This window comes from Homo sapiens, chromosome X (genome assembly GCF_000001405.40).
Source record: "Homo sapiens chromosome X, GRCh38.p14 Primary Assembly".
Taxonomy (NCBI): Eukaryota; Metazoa; Chordata; class Mammalia; order Primates; family Hominidae; genus Homo; species Homo sapiens.
Window position 1 is genome coordinate 134,844,706 of NC_000023.11, and position 20,866 is coordinate 134,865,571.

At 37.9% G+C, this 20,866-nt stretch overlaps 1 protein-coding gene across 24 annotated transcripts in view; it reads left to right on the forward strand.

Annotated features, from left to right (window-relative positions):
• The window catches only part of PABIR3 (PABIR family member 3), a 68,408-nt gene extending 48,342 nt beyond the window's left edge, over nt 1-20,066 (forward strand). For 6 of the 24 annotated variants that reach the window (NR_158606.2, XM_005262382.2, NM_001388447.1 and 3 more), the window contains 7 exons: nt 500-543; nt 642-696; nt 2,678-2,770; nt 3,178-3,266; nt 4,462-4,523; nt 8,095-8,191; nt 9,386-10,127. Coding sequence is in view for 22 of the 24 variants with exons in the window: in XM_005262382.2 (XP_005262439.1) it covers nt 500-543; nt 642-696; nt 2,678-2,770; nt 3,178-3,266; nt 4,462-4,523; nt 8,095-8,191; nt 9,386-9,512 (567 nt within the window). In the remaining 2 variants the exon portion in view is untranslated. Of the gene's footprint in view, nt 1-499; nt 544-641; nt 697-2,677; nt 2,771-3,177; nt 3,267-4,461; nt 4,524-8,094; nt 8,192-9,385; nt 10,128-19,583 lie in introns of those variants that run through there. The other 18 variants (XM_005262383.3, NM_001170779.3, NM_001388440.1 and 15 more) reach the window with 12 other exon arrangements.

Consider the following 20,866-nt stretch of genomic DNA (forward strand, 5'->3'; position numbering starts at 1 on the left):
TTGTTTTCTGATGTCAATGACTAGATTTAAATTATGTTTGTCTCATCATTTACTTAAGCAAACTTACCCTGATAGACATTTAATTTGTTGTCTGTGTACTGTGAGTAATTTTTATTAATATCATAGTATTAATGGCCATCCATAGCTATTGTGGACTAGTTTCTTCTCTGTCCTAGTAGACCTTTAAAAAGTTTAGGGAAAACTGTATAATTTTGAATGCTTAATGTTGTTGCTTTTGAATAAAGAAAAGTACAAAGTTTTTCATCTAATCAGTTCCTGCATATCTGATGTACTGTAATGCATAAATAATAGATCTTTGGTGTGATAATTTGTGAAGCAATAAAGGGCAGAGAACCAGATACTTGTTTAGAGATTTATTTATTCTCTAGTTCTTCTATAGCCTAGTGAATAAAAATAATGGTGCATCCAAATGAAATCAAATTTTATAAAACCATAGGAACTGGGTATTCAGTTTATTCTCATTTTCCTACCTTTACAGGAAGAAGCCATGGATTTAATAAATAGAGAAACAATGTCTGAATGGTGAGTACTGTACTTTGAATTACTATTCTGATAATTTGTATACTTAATTATATCTTTTCTTTCAGATAGGCAAACTGCAGTTTTGATTTCTTTTGTAGGAAGCTACAAAGTGAGATACAGATAAGTCACTCTTGGGAAGAAGGCTTGAAACTGGTATGATATTATAACTTCAGTTTTGTAGAAAATTTCAAATTTTTACTGACTTACAGTGTCGGCATATCTAGTTTTGCTGTAATTTCTAGAAATCTAAGCTCTATTTTGAAACAAAAATTGTATCTGTTGCATAAATAATTTTTGAGTGCTCTTTTTAATTTTTTTTTTTGAGACAAGGTCTCACTATGTTGTCCAGGCTGGTCTTGAACTCCTGAGCTCAATGGATCGTCCTGCCTCAACCTCCCAAAATGCTAGGATTACAGGCTTGAGCCATTGCGCCTAGCCCTTGATTGCTCTTCAGAAATACTTCATGATTTACTCATAAAAATAGCTATCATTATTTGAAAGTGGGGTTCAAAGTAAACAGTTTTGTGACACAAAACCATAGCTATTGTGGACCAGTTTCTTCTCTGTCCTAGTAGGCATAATAAAAGTTCAGTTGCACTAGTTAAAGTGCTTAGATAACAAAACAATAAATGATTTCACTCCCTTCTCCATAATTTATGAACTATATATTAGGAGTCTTAAACCACAGACAATAGACTCTCTAGAAAATTATTGCATTTTTATGCCTGTGTGTTAGTCCGTTCTCACATTGCTATAAGGAAATACCCAAGACTGGGTAATTTACAAAGGAAAGAGGTTTAATTGACTCACAGTTCTGCATGGCTGGGGAGGCCTCAGGAAACTTACGATTATGGCAGAAGGCACCTCTTCACAGGGCGGCAGGAGATAGAATGAGTGCCAGCAGGGGAAATTCCAGATGCTTATAAAGCCGTCAAATCTCGTGAGAACTCACTCACTACCACGAGAACAGCATTGGGGAATTTGCCCCCATGATTCTATTACCTCCCACCAGGTTCCTTCCACAACACGTGGGGATTATGGGGATTACAGTTCAAGATGAGATTTGAGTGGGGACACAGCCACACCATTATCAGCCTGTAACACATTCTCCCACTAACATTTTAATATAAAACCTTTAATTTAAACATACTTAGAATTTAGTTTCATCTCTTGTTAACATTTTTAAATGTCTGTGTGCACACTGTGGTTACCTAGTTGTGGTAGCTGAATGATATTTAGTGTTCTTTTCTATGGACATCCCAGATAGTGACAAAACAAGTACTGAGCTGAAAATTGAATAGGAGAGATTCTAACTAATGTCAATCTTCAGATTTGGGAATTATTTGATATGGAAATGGATCATCAGCAGAAGCAATGGCATTTTATTTTCCTTTGAGCCCTGAGTACCTTACATGAGCAGTTATCCCTGATTTTGGAGTAGGTCCAGGAGAATGAGTAGGTCATCTCTGGAGCCTGTCACTTTTTGTGTTTTGGTGCTAATACAATTGATCGATACTGCTGGAGTCCTTTAACTGGCCCAATTCTAATTACTTTAGGTATTGGCATGGATGAGTAAGAGAATCGTAAGTGTGTTAGGAAGAGGAAGGGCACATGTAATACACACTTGGCTTGTTTTAGAAAGAAAAGGGCAGATTTTAAAATCCTGAATTATGAAGTACTGATTTTGTCTATGTAAAATCTAGAGACAATTTCCATAAATGTAGTTATTCCTGCTGTCTCATTTGCTTCTAAGTTCTAGCCAAAACCTTTTTGGTCCTTTCCTGGATGTAGTATTATAGTTTTCAATAACAAAGCACAGGTCAAAGCCAAAGAGAAGAGCTTAAATTTAGGATTTGTGTTTATAGTGTTGAGTACTCACATTCTAGGACTTTCTGGCATGCTGGGAAGCCCCTCAATCACCATATAGCCCTCATCCCCAAAAGGGAAAAGGGTGCCTTTGCTTATTGAAGTGAATTTTGGGTTCCCTGATTGCTTTAGGATGGCGAGAGCTCTTCACCATGGTGCAGCCAGTGACTCAGTAGTAAGGACTCACTTCCCTGTGCAACAGGTATCTCAAGTATTTGATTAATAAGCAATTGGTGCTACAATTGTACACTGCTTTCTGCTTACACAGAATGACAATGGCTTACAGAAATCATCCTCTCTAAAGTGCATTGATTTAACTCCAGTATCCTCAATGGCTTCTTCCATCAAGAAGACTGGGAAGGTAAGAAAGGAGTACCTAAAAGTCTATGTCTCTTGAAATAGTTAGGAAATATTTAGGAACATTAATGGTCACCAAAACAAATATTTTGGGGGATATATTTTGTCACAGTACATCTGATTCTAACTAACATTTTTCCCTTCTTTTTCATTTCTTCAAGTATTACTTACATGTAATAAAATTCACCAACTTTAAAGCATAGGGTTAGATTAATTTTGGTAATTGTGTACAATCCTGTAGCCACAACCATAATCAAGATATTGAACAGTTCCCACACTCAAAACAATTTCCTAATGATCTTTTGTACCCCAGTCTCCCTCCCTACCATCCCTGCCCCTCCCTAGGAAACCAATGATCTGCTTTCCGAGAAAAGTGGCGGTTTTAAAACCTCTGTTCCAATTTGATTTTAGCAGTGTTTCTCTCCATCATTACAAACTTGTGTGAGTTGCACTGGTTCGCCTTCAAGTCCTATTCCCAGTCCTATGCAACAATACATCATGTAAGTTTATGTTATATGAAAATACCAAATTGCTTATAAAATAAGAATTATAGAAACCTAAAAGAAATTATAGCTCCAAGTTTTGTGCCAACCAAAGAAGTGACTTCTTTTTAGGGAAATTAAAATGTCATTGTTTCGGCTGGGCACGGTGGCTCCTGCCTGTAATCCCAGCACTTTGGGAGGCCGAGGCGGGTGGATCACCTGAGGTAGGAAGTTCAAGACCAGCCTGAGCAACATGGAGAAACCCCGTCTCTACTAAAAATACAAAAATAGCCGGGCATGGTGGTGCATGTCTGTAATCCCAGCTACTCAGGAGGCTGAGGCAGGAGAATCGTTTGAACCCAGGAGGTGGAGGTTGTGGTGAGCTGAGATCGTGCCATTGCCCTCCAGCCTGGGCAACAAGAGCAAAACTCCATCTCAAAAAAAAAAAAAAGTCACTGTTTCAGTTTATCATTTTGTATATTGAAAAAGTCAGGTGACTAAGAACATAAGAAGAATTTAGTAATTCCTTCACCCTGCTAATACATAATCTTTCTCTAACCAAGTTTGTTAATAAGGATCAGAGCTATCTCTAGAACTTTAAACAACTTCATCCGTGATTCTCACCTTCATTCAAGGCAAGTCCCAGCCAGGAATGTAGGTTTTTGTAGACTCTAGGATTCAAAATCCTGAATCCTTGAGAATTAGAAGATAGTTTGCTCCTAAGGCATTCCAGTTTTTACCCATATGTAAAGAAAAGCAGTAAAATGGCCGAGCATGGTGGCTCACACCTGTAATCCCAACACTTTTGGAGGCCAAGGCAGGCAGATCACCTAAGGTCAGGAGTTCGAGACCAGCCTGGCCAACATGGTGAAACCCTGTGTCTACTAAAAAAATACAAAATTAGCCGAGTGTGGTGGTGCATGCCTGTAATCCCAGCTACTTGGGAGGCTGAGGCAGGAGAATCACTTGAACCCAGGAGGCGGAGGCTGCAGTGAGCTTAAATCACGCCACTGCACTCCAGCCTCGGTGACAAGAGCCAAACTGCATCTCAGAAAAAAAGTAAAAATAAAAACAAAGAAAAGCAGTAAAATGATGTAATATCCTACACAGAGTCCCGTTTTTGTGTATGTCCTTAGATCTGTTATAATGAAATAGTCATTGTTGATTTTGTTAAAAAAAATTTCTTATAATGATCATGATGATTTTATTTTAGAAGAAGTCAAAATCCTACCAACATTATTAGACCAAGTATCCTTGGACCATTAAAAAGAAAAGGTACTTTTATCTAACAGTAGAAGTAAATATAACTTTAAGTTATTTTATAAAATATCTAAAATCAAATGTTATACAAAAATGTATTTTTAAAGGCTTTATTTATTTAAAATATATTTAATAAGCTATTAGAGGCCTTTCATTTTATGCAACTAGAAATATGTATAAGGACATTTTGAAAACTCTAAAATGCTATATAAATGTGAATTGAGAAATTTAATTCCAATTTAGTTGGCTATTAGGATTTTCAATATAATTCACCAAGGTAGCTATCTTCATTACTTTCTAAAACAATGTAGAGAATAAATGAATGAATGAACAGAGTGAGTCAGTCATCAAGTATTTTGCTGAATGTCAACCCCTGCCTCACTGCCACACACACACATTGCTATCATATGAATAAGTTGACACAAATTAGATCCACTTACAACACTAAAAATATATATGAAGGTGTATGTTCTTTGGTGTTTAGTTTCTTTATGGGAGTTATTTTTGGTTAAATATATGGAAAGTGACCCACCTACTCAGTAATAAAAGGGCAGTGGAAAGAATAAAAGGGCAGTGGAAAGATGTCTTTTTTAAAAACTCCTGCAATCCTGGATCCCACTTCTCAATGGTACCTCACTAAATTATGCTCTTCTTCCTTTTTTTTTTTTTTTTTTCTTGAGACAGAGTCTTGCTCTGTCACCCAGGCTGGAGTGCAGTGGCACAATCTTGGCTCACTGCAACCTCTTCCTCCCGGGTTCAAGCGATTCTCCTGCCTCAGCCTCACCAGTAGCTGGGATTACAGGTGCCTGCCACCATGCCCAGCTAATTTTTTTGTATTTTTAGTAGAGACAGAGTTTCACCATGTTGGCCAGGCTGTTCTCGAACTCCTGACCTCAGGTGATCCACCCACCTCGGCCTCCCAAAGTGCTGAGATTGCAAGCATAAGCCTGTATATTTAGTACAATTTTTGACTACAATGGGGAGGGGAAATGGGTGAATAGGAAAGGAGATTAAACTTAAAAATGTGTATTGTGAAAAATCTATTAAGGTAAGAAAGAGGAGTAAGAAGAATAAGAGGAGAGAAACTGAAATATGCTTTAATGTTCTTTGTATATTTTCGATTAATTAATGGCAGTCTTCCTAACAACATAACTAACTCAGCATGTACTTTTTGTATTCTAAGATTAAGGGCTAGATAAATTCTGGAAAATACTCTTTTCCAAAGTAAGCACATTGTTTTATGAAGATGCTTCGGTTACTAAGCTTAGGGGTCTTTTACCTGTGCTGTGAAATTCGGGCTAGTGTTGAAAAAATATTCAAATATATCAGCAGTTTAAGAGCTGTTAGAAGTCAAGGGTCAATTGAGTATTTAAAATAAAGTACGCTTAAATTGAGGAGTGTTTTACCAGATTAAAATAGTTCTCCTTTTGAGACATGTATACATAAATAGGTTATCACATGAAAAGTATCTCGAGTTTTCTTAGAATTTATGATTGAAAAATTATTTTTATAGATCAATTTTAACATAAAAGATGTAGTTTCTGCCCAGTGTCTTCGGAGATGTGACCTGTCTCACACTTGGTTTTCAGCTGCTCTGAAAGACGACTGCCTTATTCCTTTGAGGTGTCCCTGAGGGAACTCCAAAGCGAATTCTGTATATACCACCTAGTCCATATTTTCAGTCATACCCCACCCTCCAAAGCATGCCCTGTACAAATGTGCTGAAAATTCATTTGGCCATTTTTGGCCAGATACAATAACAGATAAACAGAAATTGAAATTTATTCATATATTTTGGAATATGCATATTCATTTGGGAAACAACAAACTATGTCCTATTTGGACCCCATTAATACAAATGAAATGTGGGAGAAAGGTACCATAAAAATAAAAGAGAGGTCCTGAGGCAGGGGGCGGGGGGAACTAAAAAGAATGATGATTATGTGAAGTGAGATCAAGATTAGAGTCTCCAAAGCATATGATGTCATATTTTATGGTGAGAAGCAGCAGTGACTTCCATTAGGAATAAGCAAGAGCATGGGCCGGGCACAGTGGCTCATGCCTGTAATCCCAGCACTTTGGGAGGCCGAGGCGGGCGGATGACTTGAGGTCAGGAATTCAAGACCAGCCTGGCCAACATGACAAAACCCTGTCTCTACTAAAAATACAAAAATTAGCCAAGGGTGGTGGTGTGTGCCTGTAATCCCAGCTACTCAGGAGACTGAGGCAGGAGAATCGCCTGAATCCAGGAGGCGGAAGTTGCAGTGAGCCGAGATCACACCACTGCACTCCAGCCTGGACAACAGAGTAAGACTCTGTCTGGAAAAAAAAAAAAAAAGGAATAAGCGAGAGCAAATAAGCCTTCACATCGGAATACTGCAGAAATTGGGCAGCTATAAATATCGTTTGACAAGTAATGCTGGTTTTAGCAAAGAAAGATCTAATTTTCTTTTATGAGGAATATGTTTTGATTTGTCATGTTTTCAATGTTAAACCAAAAAAGAGAGCTGAGTAGTTTTTCTGTAGTGACATAAATGTAATCTGGCAAGGCACGGGACACCAGACTTCTTTTAAACTTTATGAGCCATGATTACACTTCTGTGGAAGGTCTATGCAATATCTTAATGGTGACCTTAGGGTTTTATCATTCAAATAGAAGTTATGGGCTTGAATGTCAGTTTTGCTCAGGTCCAGAAATGATTATCATATGAATGTGAAACACTGTGCAGATTTTAACATTTACTTCAAGGCAAAGATTACAAAAATGCAGTTGTTGTTTTTTTTGAGATTAGATGTTCTACCTTAATCTCTAAAGATACAATTATTTTGTTCATTGTGTGCTGTAAAAGAACTTACCTATTTAGTTCATTGTGTACATTTAGCAAAATAAAGATAGCAACAACCTAAAGTTTTAAAATAAGGAATGACATTAAACTCATTAAACAGCCTTACTACATAGCTATATCAAATCATCTTGCAGGCCGGGCACAGTGGCTCACGCCTGTAATCCCAGCATTTTGGGAGGCCAAGGTGGGTGGATCACCTGAGGCCAGGAATTTGAGACCAGCCTGGCCAACATGGTGAAACCCCGTCTCTACTAAAAATATAAAAAATAGCTGGGCATGGTGGTTTGCACCTGTAATCCCAGCTACTCTGGAGGCTGAAGCACGAGAATTGCTGGAACCTGGGAGGTGGAGGTTGAAGTGAGCCCAGATCATGCCACTGCACTCCAGCCTGGGTGACAGAGCGACTTCTTCACAAAATAATAATAATAATAATAATAATATCATCTTATAGAATTTAGTTAATAATATAAGAAAATTATAATCATTGAAAACAAAAAGTAAATCTAAAAACATTATATACGGTACAAACCCAATTTTATTTAAAAAACAATTGTGTATACAACATATTCAAAAATTACTAAAGAATGGTTATGTCTGGATAATGATTACTTAAAATTGTTTTCTTTGTGCTTTTCTGTATTTTATAAATTAATTGCAGTGAATAAGTATTACTTTTGCAATTAAAATAATAATAAACATGTTAAATAAAACATCTACCTTGATCTGCTGTATTGTCATAGGTGAAATGGCATTTCAATATCAACCAAAAAAGATTTTCCAAGGCACAACCAACATGCTTTCTTCTGATACTTCCCAACTGTCAGAAAATAATGTGTAGTGAGTATTAACATGAGATTTTAAACATTCATTGATCATTTTTGCTTCGTTGTTAAGTCTACTTTGGCTATTGTACGTATTCAGAAGTATGGTACATTATTAACTGTTCTTAGAAGTTTTAAAACTAATATTCCAAGTGGATACTATAAACCTGAGTTATTTTATTTTCTTTTTTTTCTTTTTCTGAGGCAGGGTCTCACTCTGTCACCCAGGCTGGGAATGCAGTGGCACAATCTTGGCTCACTGCAACCTCCACCTCCCAGGCTCAAGCAGTCCTCCCACCTCAGCCTCCTGAGTAGCTGGGACCACAGTAGCTGTGCACCACCGCGCCTGGCTAATTTTTGTATTTTTTGTAGAGATGGGGTTTTTCCATGTTGCCCAGGCTGGTCTCAAACTCCTGAGCTCAAGCAATCCGCTTGCCTTGGCCTCCTAAAGTGCTGGGATTACAGGCGTGAGTCACGTCACCTGGCAGAGTGTTTTTCTTATGAGATGTGTGTGACACTAATATATGGTGGATACATTTTTAGAAGTGAGATTTTGGCATTAGATTAAGAGATATTAGAGAAATACATAAAAATGCATCCTTGGAAAAAGTCATCTTCTGCCCATCTTCCTTGGATTTTTGTCTACCTTGTTGGGTTGAGAGTATTATTGAAAAGCATGCCTAAGAAAGCATGTCTTAATGATAAAAATAGGAAATACTGGAATAGATTTCTTTCTTTTTTTTTTTTTGTTTTGTTTTAGACGGAGTCTCGCTCTGTCTCCCAGGCTGGAGTGCAGTGGCACCATCTCGGCTTACTGCAACCTCTACCTCCTGGGTTCAAACAATTCTCCTGCCTCAGCCTCCTGAGTAGCTGGGACTACAGGCGTGTGCCACCACACCTGGCTAATTTTTGTATTTTTAGTATAGATGGGGTTTCACCTTATTGGTCAGGCCGGTCTTGAACTCCTGACCTCGTGATCCACCTGCCTTGGCCTTGCAAAGTGCTTGGATTACAGGCATAAGCCACCACACCTGGCCATGGATTTCTATTTATTGTTACTGGTGGTTTCATTGTATGACTCTTAAAAAACTTTGCTTGTGACAAGTGCCAGTTGTTAGTCATGTATTTTGCATTCATGTGTAGACAAAGCAGAGTATACAGAGAGATCTCTTGAGTTCTGCTATCAATGAGTGGCATTTTCTTCTTCTAGTCTACTTCCAGCTACTTTTGATGGAAACGACAGCAATGCTGGATCTTCTGGTAATTCGTCAGCTGAAATCGGCACTGTCACAAACTCTCCTGTGTCACCTTCTGATACTGGTTCTCATTTGTTCTAGTAGACAAACTTTCAACTAAATGATTCACCCATCCCAAGACTTTCTCACCAGTGGAGAAACACACACATCAAGCAAACCAAGTCAGAGCAATGAGAATTGTACTGTATAATTTAAACTATCTCCTATTTATCTTTTTTCCTCAATTTCCTAAAATTCTATTTATCTACAGAACTTGCGTGTATAATTCTTGTGTACATCCTTAAATTTAATGTAATAACATGTTAAAGATGTTTTCCAAATCAGAACCATGTTGAAGATACAAGCGTAAATTGTTAGGCTGCTATTTTCTAGAAAATGCTGTACCTTGACTTTTTAAAATAATCTTATGAAACATAATTCTGATAAAATATAATTGTTCAATTAACAAAGTAAAATGATGTTTGACAATTATGTACTTAATGATCCATGCTAGTCTTTAATGCTATTTTCAGTAACTACTAGCTTCCACTTGGTAAAGAAAAGTCACATATCAAAGGCAATTTTTATGACTAAGTTATACCATACTGATCCAAGGATTGCTTATTTTGCACATGAATCCTTAGATATTCAATTTGTTGGGAAGCAGTAGGTAGGAGAAGAGCAAGACAAATTAAAGTTAATTGAATAGAAAGAAAATAATATGTAATTGAGGCTTCACTCAATTTGTACTCAACCTGATTAACCCTGATTAATTTTGTATTCTAATTAAGTGTGGGAAAATGTTGATAAGTTGTAGTCTTTTACATTTTTATCACTTACGTTTTATTCATCATCATGACTACCGATTTGATTAAATACAGGCTTAATATGTCAGGGCTTTTCTGCGAAAATCATGTGCTTCCAGTTGTTCCCTAAGGTCTATAAATGTTTGTTTAAACCCTGATTTTCTATTCGAAAATCTTAAGGGTTTTTTTTTTTTAAATAGGAAAAATTATGTGTTAAAAAATTTAAATTTAGGCTGGGCGTGGTGGCTCATGCCTGTAATCCCAGCACTCTGGGAGGCCAAGGCGGGTGGATCACAAGGTCAGGAGATCGAGACCATCCTGGCTAACATGGTGAAACCCCGTCTCTACTAAAAACACAAAAAATTAGCTGGGTGTGGTGGTGGGCGCCTGTAATCCCAGCTACTCGAGAGGCTGAGGCAGGAGAATGGCGTGAATCCGGGAGGTGGAGGTTGCAGTGAGCCGAGATCATGCCACTGCACTCCAGCCTGGGCAACAGAGCAAGACTCTGTCTCAAAAAAAAAAAATTAAATTTAAAATATGTGCTTTAAGTAATTGGGGGTAGTATTAGCATTTTGAAAAATAGAAACATACTCTTATGAAATGAAGCTGAGAATGGTTTAAATTGCCTCAGCTAATAAGACAGGAACAGTTATCTCAAATACGTATAAAAGACTTTTTTTCTTTTCATCGGAAAGAATCAGAATGATAGAAATCTGATGTGGGTATGCTGCCATATGGGAAAAAGACTGTGCCACTAACAATTTTTTGACAGTGACCCTGATGGAACTGATCAGAATTGATATATAAGTGGGAGAAGATTCTATTCAATTATGAATAGATGAAACCAACTATTTATAAAATGACTAGGATCATGATGGTCTCTTGAAACTGGGACAGGATTCTATAAATTGGCTAAGAACAAGGAAACTATAAATATTGCCTTTGTTACTTGCTTCTTTACTTGCCAGCCCTTTAGTGGACCAGTTGTGAGAGGGGCCCCTCATGGAATGAGGTGTGGTTGCAGTGATGTTTCTTGCTGAAACTGTAGATCATTGACAGACAAAGGTTCACATGTACTATTGACACCTTAGCCAAAGAGAGTTTCGCAGAATGTTCAAGCACAAGGACTAAGGATGCAGAAAGTAACTAATGGGGATAAGACTACCACTCAGTTGTATAAGGAACTTTTATCAGCAAATCTTGGTAATCTTGACTATCTCAATATACTTTTCTCAACTCAGACAATTCCTTTCCCTCTATTCAGTTATTTTTTTTTTTTTTTTGAGACGGAGTCTCGCTCTATTGCCAGGCTGGAGTGCAGTGGCATGATCTCGGCTCACTGCAACCTCCGCCTCCCAGGTTCAAGCAATTCTCCTGCCTCAACCTCCCGAGTAGCTGGGATTACAGGCGCATGCCACCATGCCCGGCTAATTTTTGTATTTTTAGTGGAGGTGGGGTTTCGCCATGTTGCCCAGGCTGGTCTCGAACTCCTGGCCTCAGGTGATCCACCCACCTCGGCCTCCCAAAGTGCTGGGATCACAGGCAATGAGCCACCCCACCCAGCCCTATTCAGTTAGTTTTTATTCAGTTAGTTGATTTAGCTGTACACTAGGATACCACAACTCACTGTAATATGCTCAGACTCAGGGATTCCATAGTTGGTTCTCCATTCTGTTACCTTTTGAGCTTGTGTATTGGGAGGATCCATTTCTAAAATGATTTTCCATTTATTGTTGATTTTAAGACCAAAATGATTGTAACTTTTACTTGCTATTCTGTGTTTGATTTTTTTAAATTATGGTAAGGCGGCCGGGCACAGTGGCTCACACCTGTAATCCCAGCACTTTGGGAGGCCGAAGTGGGTGAGTCATCTGATGTCAAGAGTTCGAGACCAGCCTGGCCAACATGGCGAAATCCTGTCTCTACTAAAAATACAAGATACTAGCTGAGCGTGGTGGCAGGCACCTGTAATCCCAGCTACTCAGGAGGCTTAGGCAGGAGAATCGCTGGAACCCGGCAGGCGGAGGTTGCAGTGAGCCGAGATCACGCCACTGCACTCTAGCCTGGGCGACAGAGTGAGACTCCGTCTCAAAGAAAAAAAAAATTATGGTAAGGCTATATTTTGTCTTCCTAAACATGCTGAAGAATTATCATATCAGTTTTCTATAGTGAAGGACATGCATTAGTTTCCCAGGGCTGCCATAACAAAGCATCAAAAACTGGGTGGCTTAAACAATGGAAATTTATTGTTTCACAGTTCTGGAGGCTACCAGCCTAAGATCAAGGAGTCACCTGGGTTGGTTGCCTCCGGAAGCTCTGAGGGAGAATCCATTCCTTGCCTCTCTCCTTGCTTTTGGTGGTTGCTGGCAATCCTTGGCTTACGGATACATCACTCCAATCTCTGCCTCAGAGAGAATCCTGTGATTCTCTCTGTGTCCTGTGTCGTCATATGGCCTTATAAAGATAACCAGTCATTGGATTTAAGGCCCACCCTAATCCAATATGACCTCATCTTAATTCGATTATATCTGCAAAGACCCTGTTTCCAGATAAGGTCAAATTCACAGGTCCTGGGGGTTAGAATTTCAAGATACCTTTTTGAGGACACAATTTAACACACAATGGTATAATTTTAGAATTTTGATTTTGCTTGTTTCATCTTTCCTAAATTAGTTTTTTAAAATTGTCTCTCCTATAACTCGTCTTAAAAATGTGAGAACAAGAGGTGACTATAAAGCATCATTATTAAACCTTAGATATGTGTTCAATCAAGTATTCCTATTTTACTTATAATCTTATAAAAGAGCAGTGCTCCAAATTTACCCTAATGATTCACTGATATTCAACATGAAAACTCACTGTAGTAATGAGTTGGGTCCTCAGATCAGGAAAATATATATATGGTTTTTAAAATTTATAATTACTAAATCAACCAATAACATTTATAATTTTAAATATATTCAATAAATATCTAATGAATACTTTCTGTGTACAAGAAACTGTACTAAAACTTTTATGATATATGAGGATGAGTGAGATACCTTATCTGTCTTCAAGTAGGATAACTAAATACAAAAATAATGATACAAGATAGTCTATCATAACATGACTATAGATACACATAAGAAAAGACACTTTTACTGTAAAAATAGGATATAAAGATAATACTGAGATCATGTAATCTTAGTATTCAGGGATTTTAGAAGTCTTTGAATCTACCTCTCAATGCAGAAATCCTTTTAAGAATTCCAGACAGGTTATTTTTTAGCCTTAGTTTGAAATCTTGTAAGAATGAATGGACTCTGTCACAAGACAGTTCATTGTATTGTTGGACAGCTCTAATATTTAGAAGTCTCTAACATTAAAAGGGGGGACGAGTGTAGAGTTTGTATTTAGGTGGCCTGTTTCATTGGCTCTTTAGAATTGAGACAAATCAAATGAGCTATTAAAAGCACATGAGTTAAGGTTCTAATTCTGCATTAATCTTTGTCCCTACTCCTGGAATTATTAGTACTCCCACTACAGGATATATTTAATCTCATCTCCTAAATGAATTTTGAAAATTCACCTAGAAGCAGCTATATATAAATATCCAAGATGAAAATGCATGTATGATACTTAGGTATCTGTGGGGAAAACTAATTACAATTTGCCTGAAGTGTTTTTAAATATTTTAGATCTTAAAAGTCGAGCTTGAAAAATCTATCATATAGGTAGACTTCACTGTTGGATAGTTACAATTGTGCATTTAGAAAAGGTCAGGGAACCATAAGTACCCCAGCAAATACGTAACTTCGTTTTCCTGAAATTCCGTAATGTCTCGCAGATTTCTTACAATGTAGTTCTTAACCCAAGGGTAAACAAGATTGATTTCCACAAGTGTCTATAACGTATAGGTGGAGAGAATCATACATCATATAGGAATCCCGGAAACTTGCTCAACCCCCTTACTAAAGGGAGACTTGATGACCATGGTCTCTCAGAAGAAATGCATTAAATGAATACAGTCATTAACTAAATCCTATAAGTTGTCCAACAGCTACATATGTGCAGTTGGAGATTTCTGTGGCTTTACTGACAGCAAAGTAAATCAGTAACATAAATGCTCATGTCAGCCTTTTGGGAGAGTGACCAAACTACATTATTAGTAAGTATAGGAGTCAGGAGATCTGACTTGTAGCTCCAGTTCTGCCACTAGCTATGTGGGTCTTTGGGCAGGTCACTTCACTGCTCTGGGCTTCAGGAATCCAATATGTAAAACAGATCAGACTAGTTATTTATAAGGTCCCTTCTGCCTCTAAAAATTTTATGGATTCTCTGAAAACATCTGCCTTCATCTTTGCTAGTATGACAGTAAAAGTCATGGTGGCATTTAAAATATTTAGGAAATTAGAGAGCTTTATACCTAATATTTTTATTCTTTCTGGCAACAAGAAACTCATTTTACTTAGCTTCATCAATAGTTTCCTCTCTTTTCTGAATTATGAATGATTTATGATGAAATATGGAAAGCTAATTTCCCCCTGGTTTCTTGTTTTGTGTGAATAAATGATCCTCTCAGGATTTCCATATTAATAACAAGTTCCCCCTGACACAGCACTCACCATAAAATTTTCATTGTACTGTAACAACAACTTGAGACAAAACAAAGATACGCTTGGTATGTTTGTTTCAGAGAAGCAAGAGAGACATGGCCAAAAGCTACATCAACTATAAAAACATCATCCCAATACAAATTCAGAAGTGCTCAATTCACACTAAAAAGCAGACTACCAGTAAAAGAGCTTTTTCTTTTTCCTTGATAATTATTATATGGCAATAAGAAAAGCCTTCTGACGTTAAGTTGGTACGTTAAGTTGGTTTATTTCTTGGCATGGCTCTTGTGCTTGGTAACTCTGCATTGAACACCAACAAAAACAGACAAACTTGAAAGTTGCAAGTAGCTGGCTTGTGACTTTGTTCTGAGAAAGGAAATACTTTAAAATTACATTATCCAGCAGAGGAACCTAATTATACTTTCCATTTCTAGTCTCCCTCTTCTGAGAGGAAGGGTTTAGTTTGCTTCCTTAACTCGACTTACATTAAACTCTATAAGAGTGGGGTCTTTGGAAAGGATGGTACTGAGGCCAGCATGGTAGGGCTGTGAAGGAAGAAGGAAGTTCAGCTAAAACTTCAAATTTTTTTTTTTTTTAACAGAGTCTAGCTGTGTCACCCAGGCTGGAGTGCAGTGGTGTGGTTTCAGTTCACTGCAGCTTCCACCTCCCAGTTCAAGCGATTCTTGTGCTTCAGTCTTCTGAGTGGGACTACAGACGCATGCCACCATGCTCATTTATTCTTTTGTATTTTTAGTAGAGACAGGGTTTCTCCATGTTAGCTAGGCTGGTTTCAAACTCCTGGCCTCAAGTGATCTGCCTGCCTTGGCCTCCCAAAGTACTGGAATTACAGGCGGGAGCCACCGCACCTGGACCCTTCAACTTGATTTGGAATACACCCATGCCACATTGATTAGCAGAAATTTTTAAAATTTTAAATAATATACAAGGCTGTTGAGAGTGGGGAAAGTGGTGTTTGAATTTACTGTGGTGGAGTCCTATTGTCCTTTAATGAGGAAGTTTGGTAGTGTGTATCAAAAGCCTTCAAAAAGTGCATCTCTTTGGGGATAGCAATTATAGGAATTTTTCTTAGGGAAAAATACGGGATAGGTTGAAAAAGATATTTATTGTAATGTTATTTGTAAATGTGAAAAAATCAATTATGAAAAAAAACTTACTGTCTTCAACAAGTGGTGCTGGGGCAACTGAGTAGTCACATGTAAAATAATGAAATTGGGCCATGAAAAGGAATGAAGTCTTGACACATGTTGCAACATGCATGAAGCACGAAACATTATCCTAAGTGAAATAAGTCTGACACAAACAGGATAAATATTATTTCACTTATATGAAATATTTAGAATAGACAAATTCATAAGGACAAAAAATAGATTACAGGTTACCAGGGACTAGAGGGAGGGAGGAATGGGGAGTTATTAACGGGTACAGAGTTTCTGTTTGGGGTGATAAAAAAAGGTTTGGGCTGGGCACAGTGGCTCACGCCTATAATCCCAGCACTTTGGGAGGCTGAGGCGGGCGGATCACAAGGTCAGGAGTTGGAGACCAGCCTGGCCAATATGGTGAAACCCTTTCTCTATTAAAAATACAAAAATTAGCCGGGTGTGGTGGTGGGTGCCTGTAGTCCCAGCTACTCAAGAGGCTGAGGCAGGAGAATCGCTTGAACCCAGGAGGTGAAGGTTGCAGTGAGCCGAGATGGCGCCACTGCACTCCAGCCTGGGAGACAGAGCGAGAACCTGTTTCAAAAAAAAAAAGGAAATAGTAGTGATGGCTGCACAACATTGTGAATGTAATTAAGGCTACTGAATTGTATACCTAAGCATGGTTAAAATAGTAAGTTTTATGTTAAAAAACCAACAACTAATGTGTAGTTACACTAAGATCAGTTAAATTCGCATTTCTCAGGGTGCTTTTTATTAGGTTGGTGCAAAAGTAGTTGCGGTTTTTGCCTTTAAAAGTAAAGGTTTGCTCTCTACTAAAAATACAAAAATAATTAGCCGGGCGCAGTGGCAGGTGCCTGTAGTCCCAGCTACTAGGGAGGCTGAGGCAGGAGAATGGGGTGAACCCAGGAGGCGGAGCTTGCAGTGAGCCGAGATAGCGCCATTGCCCTCCAGCCTGGGCAACACAGCGAGACTCCGCCTCAAAAAAAAAAAAAAAAAAAAGTAAAGGTTTGCTTTTAAAGGCAAAAACCGCAATTACTTTTGCACCAACCTAATAAAATGCGAATAAGTACACATATCCTGAAGAATTGAAGAGGAAGTCCAGGGGAAGTCCATGGTCAAGTAAGTTTGGAAAATTCAGTTGACTTGTTTGTTTAACATTCTGAAAGCCCAAGAAAGAGGATGTGGTATGAAGCATTTTCAAACTGTTTAACCCACATTCTCTTGTTAAGGGACAGCTTGTGGGATTGATGTTATATAGAATACCCTTTGGGAAACATTGGGTTAAAATAGATTGCAGTACATTCATTCCATGGAAATCTTGGCAACAATGAAGAATGATGGCATAGTCATATATCACTTGACATGGAAAGATGTTTACACTAGATTGTAAAGTTAAAAAGCAGTGTGATTAATGGGATCTCGTTTTTGTTTTTTTGTTTTATTGGCTGTTTTTTTTTTTTTTTTTTTTTTTTTGAGACAGAGTTTCACCCTTGTCACCCAGGCTGTAGTGCAATGGCATGATCTCAGCTCACTGCAACCTCTGCCTCCTGGGTTCAAGCGATTCTCCTACCTCAGCCTCCCGAGTAGCTGGACTACAAGCACCCGCCACCAAACCCGGCTAATTTTTGTATTTTTAGTAGAGACAGGGTTTCACTGTGTTGGCCAGGCTGGTCTCCAACTCCTGACTTCAGGTGATCTGCCCGCCTCAGCCTCCCAAAGTGCTGGGATTACAGGCGTGAGCCACCACACATTGCCTCATTTTTGTTTTTAAGAAGTGTATGTGTCTATATATGTTATGTAGATATATAACAGAAAAAAATTCTGTAAGCTTATATGCCAAAAACTTACAGTTTCTAGGAGGTAGGAAAGTTGATGGTTTTTATTTTTATTTGCTTTTCTCTTTGCCTTGTCTGTACTTTCAGATTTTTCCACATGGACTGTCTATTACTTGTGTAATCAAGAAACAATAGAAGTTAAATATATTTTAGAAACTCATATGCAGTTATTAATTTTGTAAGAGATGGGGTGAGAGGATCCAGAATTTTGCCTCTATTTAAGCTTTTATTGAATTAAAGTCTAAGAGTCTTTCACTGTTGGAAAGCTCTACTCATTTAAACATTCTTTCTGATATGGAACCAAAATCTACCTTCCATCCTTTGGTCCTAATTTGTCCTAGGGAATGCCACAAAATAAGCAAAACCCATCTCCTCTCCAATAGATGGACTTTCAGATATTTGGCAATGGCTATCATGTCTCCATAAATCTTTCTTCCTCTAGATTTTCCATTCCAGTCTTTTTTTCTTTGAGATAGTTTCCAGACCTTGATACTATCCCATTGGCTTCTGGACATTTTCCAGTTTATCAATATGTTTAAAGTGTGGCACTCAGAAATGACCACAACACTCCACCCTTTTTCTACATTTCATTCTCAGTTTCTATAAATTGTTGTGTTAGAGTTCTCTGACTAAAAAGTAATTTCGGAATACTTCCCAGTTCAGTGTGACTGTACTCTGAATCCTATCCTATGATTATGCAGAAGGAGCAGGACTGAAATAATAAAAAAGAAAGAAAAATAATAATGAAAAAATTAAGATTATATGAGAGACACTCAATTATCTATCCCTCCATCTTTTAATTTCTAAGGTTATATAGATGGATAAAGCTTTCCAGATCAATTTCTCATCCAGCCTCCTGCAATTATTAAAACATTAGTAGAACTTTTTACCAAACATTGAAAAAAAAATGAGAGAGCTTCTCTACTGATGGGGAAGGCAAAGGATTCTCTGTAGCTTGGACAAGGAATTTGAAGAATCTCTTGTCCTATACCATTTTCTACTCTTTGTCCCAGTCGTTGGTACCAGTTTTTCTGGCTTTTGATCAACATTAGAGCTGAGTTAGACAAGGTCAAGCTGCATGCAGATTGATTGGCCTCTCAACTGAGAGGCACCCCACAAGATGATAGTGAAAGGCCGGGGTTCATGGTGATGTGTAGAATATCATTTCTTGTCCTTGGCATGTTCTCAGCTCTCCTGCTAAACCCAGTGTACACCCTGATCTTCTTACCAGCCTAATGAGTCCTTTGCTTTTTATTCTTTTTGCCATTCCTCCTACATAGTAGGCACTTGTTATTAAAGTGTGATAAATATATGCACCAGCTCCAAATAATACTGAGCCCAACGACTTCCACCATGCATATGGGCCTGTGTGCTTAGTTTTTCAAAAGAGTACTTGCTTAATTGTAGGTACTGCATCTTCGTACACAGGATGCTTTATATTTCATGCTTGCTAAGCAGAAATAACTTTAAATCTTCAATTTTGAAGTTTTATATTTATGCAGCTTTTATTTTATTTTTATTTTTATTTTTTATTTTTGAGACAGTCTCACTCACTTTGTTGCCCAGGCTCGAGTGCATTGTCATGATCTCGGCTCACTGCAACCTCTGCCTCCTCAGTTCAAGTGATTCTCCTGCCTCAGCTTCCCAAGTAGCTGGGATTAATTTTTGTATTTTTTAATAGAGACAGGGTTTCACATGTTGGCCAGGCTGGTCTTGAACTCCTGAGCTCAAGTGATCCTCCTGCCTTACCCTCCCAAAGTGCTGGGATTACAGGAGTGAGCCATTGTACCCGGCCTTATGCAGCTTTTAAAATCAATTTTATTGAGGTATAATTTACGTAGTACAAATTGCAGCCATTTTAAGCTTACAACTAAGATACAGACCATTTCCTTTGCCACAGAAAATGTCCACTGCCCCTTTGCAGTTAATCCTCCTCCACACTCACTGCTGGCTCCAGGCTACACTGATCTACTTTTCATCACTGTAGATTAGATTTTCTTTTTATAGAACTTCATATATATGTAATCACACAATATGTACTCTTTTGTGTCTGGTTATTTTTGCCTGGAATAATGTCTTTGAGATCCATCTGTGTTGCTTCCTCCATCAGTAGTTCATTACTTTTTATTGCCAAATCATATTTCACTGTATATATGGTACAATTTGTTTATCCATTCATGTGTTGATGGACATTTGGGTTATTTCCAGTTGAGAGTTGTTACTAATAAAGCTGCTATCAACATTTGTGTTTAAGCCTTTGTGTGAACATATATTTTAACTTATCTTGAGTAAATACCTACTAGAATTGCTTTATTATATAGTGAATGCATGCTTAGCTTTATAAGAAATTAGAAGCCTGTTTTCCCAAGTGATTTTACCATTTTATATCCCTACCGGCAGTGCATGTTCATTTATGTAGTTCATATATGTAGCTCTTTTAAACAATGTTTTGATTTTGAGATCCTGATTTTCAAAATAATTTGCTGTGTTAAACGTTGCTTGACAAAAGAAAGACATCAATGAGCGTGAGGGAATATGTTTAAATATGTCTATTTTATTTAAAATGTTGATCTAATTTTTTTTTTTTTTTTTTTTTTTTTTTTTTTGCGACGGAGTCTTGTTCTGTCGCCCAGGCTGGAGTGCAGTGGCACAATCTTGGCTCACTGCAACTTCCGCTTCCCGGTTTCAAGCGATTCTCCTGCCTCAGCCTCCCAAGTAGCTGGGATTACAGGTGCATGCCACCACACCTGGCTGATTTTTGTATTTTTAGTACAGATGGGGTTTCACCATGTTGGCCAGGCTGGTCTCAAACTCCTGACCTCAGGTGATCCACCCGCCTCGACCTCCCAAAGTGCTGGGATTACAGGCGTGAGCCACTGCTTCTGACCAATCAGATTATTTTTGTTTTTAAAGAATTTAATTTATAGATCTTGGGCCTTGGTATTTAACCAGACACAATTATTCATTACTATTTAAAATGATCAGCTAAATGGCATACTTCCTTCAAAAGAAAATCTAATGTGATCTAGAGAATAAACTGAC